Raw genomic sequence first — 6,000 nt, 5'->3', positions numbered from 1 at the left:
ACGGAGGCTCACACCTGTAATCCCAACATTTCGGGAGGCCGAAGTGGGCGGATCACCTCGGATCAGACTGGCTAACATGGTGAAACCCCATCTCTACTAAAAATACAAAACAATTAGCCAGGCGTGGTGGTGAGTGACTGTAATCCCAACTGCCCAGGAAGCTGGGCTGATGCAGGAGAATCGCTGGAACCCAGGAGGTGGAGGGAGCTTGCAGTGAGCCGAGATCTTGCCACTGCACTCCAGCCTGGGAAAGAGAGAGAGACTCTAAGACCTTTTGCTGAATTGAAGCCTCTTGGTAAACCTATGATGTCCCATTTAATAGATGGGCAAACTGAGGCTCAAAGAAATAAATCAGGCACATAAGGAGTCCTTGTCCAAGCAAGCCGTGGGTTGAAGCCTGGGCTCTGCCAGTCCAAGTGAAACCAAAGCATCTCCAGAAATTCCTGGTGGTGTGTTACATCAGCAAATGAGTAGGCAATGTCATTCCTCAACCTGAAGTCATTGGCATCTTGCAGATTCCACGAAAGAGGAAGTCTGCCCCTGGCTCCCCGAGGCCTGCTTGCAGGAATGAGGAAGGGGCTGTTCTGCTTTCAGGTGGAAATGTTCACCAGCTAAGTGCTGGGCTGCCCAGAAGGCAAACAGCCCCCTGGGCCTGGGACACATGCTTTAGTGCCCCTGGTAGCATGGCAGGACATGCAGTGCAACTCAAGAAGCTCCCAAAACCATGAGAGGCTGGGAAAAATGCTCCCTGGCCCAGTTCTAATGTTTCCCAATAAGGAGCTGCCCGGGCAGACACAGGGGGCCCCACCCATCCTGAGAGGCTGGGCCTGGGCTGCAGACACAACTGCTCGGAGAGTCTGCATCCTGGCTCTGCAGACAGGCTCTAGATGATGGGCTGGCGGAGTGCCCATGTGGAGGTGCACACACCGTGTTTAGTATGGGCCTGTACCTGCTGCAGCGTCAGCTGGTCTGGGCCTGTGCTCCTGGTCCGCCTATAGATGCCATGTGGCCCATCTGAATCTGTGACTCTGAGTCTGGCCTACCCAGGCCTGGTTTGATCCTACCCCCTGGCCACGCCCCTTGTGGGTTTCCTCTGGGTGACGTTTCCTTCCTGCTCTTGTTGACTAGGCGCTGTTCTTGCTGGCTGGTGCCCCAGGGCCTGGAGAGGTCTGAAGAAACCTGGGAGCCAGCAGCCCGGGGCTCCACTCTGGGTTCTGAAAGCCCATTCCCTGCTCTGCGGCTCCTCCCACCCCACCTCTTCTCAGCCTTGCAGCTCAAGGGTTGATCTCAGGAGTCCAGGACCCAGGAGAGGGAAGAATCTGAGGAACACAGAACAGTGAGCGTTGCCCACACCCCATCTCCCGTCACCACATCTCCCCTCACCCTCACCCTCCCTGCCTGGCCCTGGACCCCATCCCAGGACCTCCCTATCAGCTGACTTCTTCCAGTGTCTTGCAGGCCCCTCTGGGCTCCTCCCTCCCCTGGCTTTTCCTACCACTCCCCCTCTATCGGCGTCTATCTGTAGGTGCCCTGGGATTTATAAAACTGGGTTCCGAATGCTGAATAAGAGACGGTAAGAGCCAAGGCAAAGGACAGCACTGTTCTCTGCCTGCCTGATACCCTCACCACCTGGGAACATCCCCCAGACACCCTCTTAACTCCGGGACAGAGATGGCTGGCGGAGCCTGGGGCCGCCTGGCCTGTTACTTGGAGTTCCTGAAGAAGGAGGAGCTGAAGGAGTTCCAGCTTCTGCTCGCCAATAAAGCGCACTCCAGGAGCTCTTCGGGTGAGACACCCGCTCAGCCAGAGAAGACGAGTGGCATGGAGGTGGCCTCGTACCTGGTGGCTCAGTATGGGGAGCAGCGGGCCTGGGACCTAGCCCTCCATACCTGGGAGCAGATGGGGCTGAGGTCACTGTGCGCCCAAGCCCAGGAAGGGGCAGGTGAGTGGACAGAGGACCCCACTGCCCGCGGGACATCCCCTGGCCCTCATGCCTGCCCTGCCCTCTTGGGACCCCACCACTGAGCCCTCCCTGCCAGGCCTTCCTCTGAGCAGTGACATGGAACTGCCCTCTCAAAGGGGGATCCAGGCCCCAGACTATGCTGGAGCCAGGAGGCTTGCTGGGGGGGCCCTTGCTGCACCTCAGAGCCCCACACCCTCTTCTATTCAAGTGCATTCCCGGTACTCGCCTGGCATTGTAGTTATGAGCACGGACTTGGGAGTCAGGCACTATCACCAGTCCTGGCACTATCACCCTGGGCCAATCACTTCACTGCTCTCTGCCTATTTCTCTGTCTGCAAAATGGGAGAGTGAGAGCCCGCCTCCCTGGGCTGTGTGAGGGTTAAAAGAGATCATCCAGGTTAAACATTTAGCACAGAGTCTGATATACAGTAAGTGCTCAATAAATAAGATCTCCCATTGCTGTTGTTGCTGCTGCTGCTGCTGCTGTTATTATTACTATTAGCCACCCTGGGTTGCAGATGCCGTTGGCCCAATAAAGCACAGCTGAGGCTCAGTAGGAGTAGTGATTTACACAGGGAGATAGTCAGGACCAAGACAGATATGCAAATTTCCTGATCCTAGATGAGGATTTTTTGCCTAGCAGTATCTATAAGAACATCATTCTTCAGACAAGCCTCTAGAGGAAGTTGTAGAGGGCTGCAGCGGGTTCACTGGTGTATCCTGACCTCTCTTGGTTGAGAGAGGAGACCAGCTCAGTTCCCTGGCACCTTGCCCCTGCCCCTCTGATGTGTCTCCAACCTCTTTGTCTCTTTCCTGTAGGCCACTCTCCCTCATTCCCCTACAGCCCAAGTGAACCCCACCTGGGGTCTCCCAGCCAACCCACCTCCACCGCAGTGCTAATGCCCTGGATCCATGAATTGCCGGCGGGGTGCACCCAGGGCTCAGAGAGAAGGGTTTTGAGACAGCTGCCTGACACATCTGGACGCCGCTGGAGAGGTGAGGCTTGCTGAGGCAGGCTGACAGCCCTGGGTGGAGCTGTGAATCAGCTGGTGGGCCCCACCCAGAGGATCATGTCTGTGCATGGGGACCTGACATGGGGGACAGCAGAGGAAGGATAGGGGAGCCAGGATGGGCTGTGAGAGGTAGGCCTGAAATTGATCTTTCAGGGACCTTCCGGTGCTGAGATTGCATCCCTCCCCATGTGGCAGATGGGGAAGCTGAGACCCATGTGGGTCAGGCAATGAGTCTTCCCCAACTGGGTGCCCAACTCGTGACATGGTCCTTGCCCGAGAACTCAGCTCATAATATTGATGGGCTCTGAAGATCCTTAGGGTCAGGGTGGTCCAGAAGTTCCAAGGAGGACTCTGTTTTCCAGACAGACCCCAAGAAGAGGCTAGGCTTAGTCCTCGGCCCAAGCCAGCTCCCTCACATGACTTCTCTCTTCACTACTAAGAGAATAAAATTGCCCCTCTACTTCAACATGGTTTTCAAAATAATATTATTAAGACCCATCTCTCAGGACTGTTGTGAGAGTTTAAAATATATGCACCTAAAAGAAAATAAATGTTCAGTAAATGGTTATTTTTCTTTTCATTCCCCCCAGAAATCTCTGCCTCACTCCTCTACCAAGCTCTTCCAAGCTCCCCAGACCATGAGTCTCCAAGCCAGGAGTCACCCAACGCCCCCACATCCACAGCAGTGCTGGGGAGCTGGGGATCCCCACCTCAGCCCAGCCTAGCACCCAGAGAGCAGGAGGCTCCTGGGACCCAATGGCCTCTGGATGAAACGTCAGGAATTTACTACACAGGTGAGACCCTACTGAGCTCCTGGCGGGGTGGTGAGGTGGGAGAGGCAAATGTATGGACAAAGAGTCCCCTGGGGACCAGGTTGGCAGGCTAAGCAGAGGTTCTGGAAAACATCTGAAATTTCCCTCAGGAAATCCCACCCTTGGAGCCTCTCCACTGGTCCAAGGCACTGTTTCCAGGAGGCACCTGGACATTAAAATACAGATGTGTTACCCAGCACATCTGGGGGACAACAGAGCAAGGAGAGGGGAGCCTGGATGGGGTTACACATCACCTGGTTTACTGGACAGGGCACTGGCCTGGGGTCAGGAGAGCTGGGTTCAATTTCCACTGAGCTCCTCACCCCACAAGTGGCCTACAGCTAGTCCCATGCCCATCAGTGCTCACTGGACACTCTCTGGGTTAGACCATGTCCAGGGCTTTACGTGTACATTGGACTTAAATTTTACAACCACTCCGTGAGATAAATATTGCTATTATCATACCCTGGAGATGAGAAAACCAAGGATTAAAAAGATAGTCTCACAGTTAGTACTAGCAAAGATGGAATTCAGCCTTCACTCTCTCTCACGCAGCAATCCACACTTTTAACTCTTACACAGGGAGTGCCCTCATCTGGGCAATAAGGACAGTCATACTAAAGCCACAGGTACAGAGGCTCCTGATGCCACAGGTTCCTTAACCACTGAACCATGCTGCCTCTCAATGCCGGAGGATGCCTCCTTTGAAATCTGAGAGGTTTTAAGTTAAAAGGATTTCTTCTGCACCCAGCAAGGAGTGAACTTGTAGATTTTGTGGTCGTATATGGCCTAGGCTCAAAGTATATCAGTTTACTTAATTACTCACACCACTTGCCATTCAAAAAAAGAAGCCATGTAACAAACCTGCACATATACCGCGTGAGTCTAAAATAAAAAATAAATAAACTCATGTTTTAAAAATCTTGATAGGGTATATAAGGAAAGATCAACATTCGAGTTAAACTAAGGAAAACAGAAAGTCAAGAAAGGAAGATTCTAATACTTTAAGTTGTTTCTTTCTATATTTGAGAATCACAAAGATAACTTTTTCTCAGAATTATTTTGTGAATTAAAAAATCCAAACAATAAAGACAATTAAAACTGAAAAACAGAAAAGAAGGAAGATAGGAAGAATATAAAGACATATCAGAGCCATCTATAGAAGCATAAAAATGCAGTAACTTTAAAAGTGAAAAAAACAAGTATGAAAACCACAAAGACTACCTCATTGCTATAAATAAAGTTTCCATCAATTGTGGGCATTCTAGCAACACTGGCAAAAGGGGAAATATAATGGGTTACACAATACCTGTTACTCAATAGAAAAGACCAATGCAAGGGAAATAACATTTTTCCCTGATTCTAAATTCTAAGGGAATTCTTCAAATAGGGAACTTAAAAAAAAAACAACAACAAACTTTTATTTTAGTTTCAGAAACACATGTGCAGGTTTGTTATATAGGTAAGTTATGTGTCACAAGTGTTTGGTGTACAGATTATCTTGTCGCCCAGGTAATAAGCATGGTACCTGTTAGGTTGGGTTTTTTGTTTGTTTTTGTTTTTGTTTTTTGTTTGTTGTTTTTTGTTTTTTGTTGTGTTTTGTTTTGAGACAGAGTCTTGCTCGGTCACCCAGGCTGGAGTGCAGTGGCGTGATCTCCACTCACTGCAAGCTCTGCCTCCCGGGTTCACGCCATTCTCCTGCCTCAGCCTCCCGAGTCGCTGGGACTACAGGTGCCCGCCACGAAGCCCTGCTAATTTTTTGTATTTTTAGTAGAGATGGGGTTTCACCATGTTAGTCAGGCTGGTCTCGAACTCCTGATCCGAGGTGATCCACCCACCTCAGCCACCCAAAGTGCTAGGATTACAGGTGTGAGCCACCGCGCCCGGCCCGGTAGTTTTTTAATCCTTACCCTTCTCCCACTCTTCACTCTCAAAAGGTCCCAGTGTCTATTGTTCCTTTTATGTGTCCATGTGTACGCAATGTTTACCTCTAACTTATGAATGAGAACATGCGGTATTTCATTGTCTGTTCCTGTGTTAGTTCACTTATAATGCTCTCCAACTCCATTCAAGTTGCTGCAAAGGCATGACCTCATTCATTTTTATGGCTGTGTAGTATTCCATGTGTAAATGTCCCACATTTTCTTTAGCAGTATGGTTGATTCCATACTGGTGCTATTGTGACTAGTGCTGCAATAAACATACATGTACA

The 6,000-nt window shown here is 50.6% G+C and overlaps 1 protein-coding gene across 5 annotated transcripts in view, besides 3 other annotated features; it reads left to right on the top strand.

Moving 5' to 3' along the window:
- Nucleotides 583-1,782: an enhancer, noted in NCBI's record as "CDK7 strongly-dependent group 2 enhancer chr17:5487167-5488366 (GRCh37/hg19 assembly coordinates)". NCBI's record gives its function as "activates an origin of replication core promoter dependent on BRD2, BRD4, P300/CBP, MED14 and CDK7 cofactors, with strong dependence on CDK7, by STARR-seq in HCT116 cells {active_cell/tissue: HCT116}" and the evidence as "EXISTENCE:reporter gene assay evidence [ECO:0000049][PMID:35650434]".
- Nucleotides 732-1,031: an enhancer, noted in NCBI's record as "active region_11581". NCBI's record gives its function as "activates an Ori minimal core promoter by ATAC-STARR-seq in GM12878 lymphoblastoid cells {active_cell/tissue: GM12878}" and the evidence as "EXISTENCE:reporter gene assay evidence [ECO:0000049][PMID:35858748]".
- Nucleotides 1,052-1,311: an enhancer, noted in NCBI's record as "active region_11580". NCBI's record gives its function as "activates an Ori minimal core promoter by ATAC-STARR-seq in GM12878 lymphoblastoid cells {active_cell/tissue: GM12878}" and the evidence as "EXISTENCE:reporter gene assay evidence [ECO:0000049][PMID:35858748]".
- Nucleotides 1,120-6,000, top strand: part of NLRP1 (NLR family pyrin domain containing 1) — an 83,114-nt gene continuing 78,233 nt past the window's right edge. For all 5 annotated transcript variants that reach the window (NM_001033053.3, NM_033007.4, NM_033006.4 and 2 more), the window contains exons 1-3: nucleotides 1,120-1,942; nucleotides 2,783-2,959; nucleotides 3,567-3,770. In NM_001033053.3, the coding sequence (NP_001028225.1) occupies nucleotides 1,672-1,942; nucleotides 2,783-2,959; nucleotides 3,567-3,770 (652 nt within the window). In that variant the 5' untranslated portion in view covers nucleotides 1,120-1,671. The remainder of the gene's footprint in view (nucleotides 1,943-2,782; nucleotides 2,960-3,566; nucleotides 3,771-6,000) is intronic.

This window comes from Homo sapiens, chromosome 17 (genome assembly GCF_000001405.40).
Source record: "Homo sapiens chromosome 17, GRCh38.p14 Primary Assembly".
Taxonomy (NCBI): domain Eukaryota; kingdom Metazoa; phylum Chordata; class Mammalia; order Primates; family Hominidae; genus Homo; species Homo sapiens.
The sequence above is the reverse complement of the archived record's forward strand: the minus strand, read 5'-3'. Positions and strand labels throughout refer to the sequence as shown.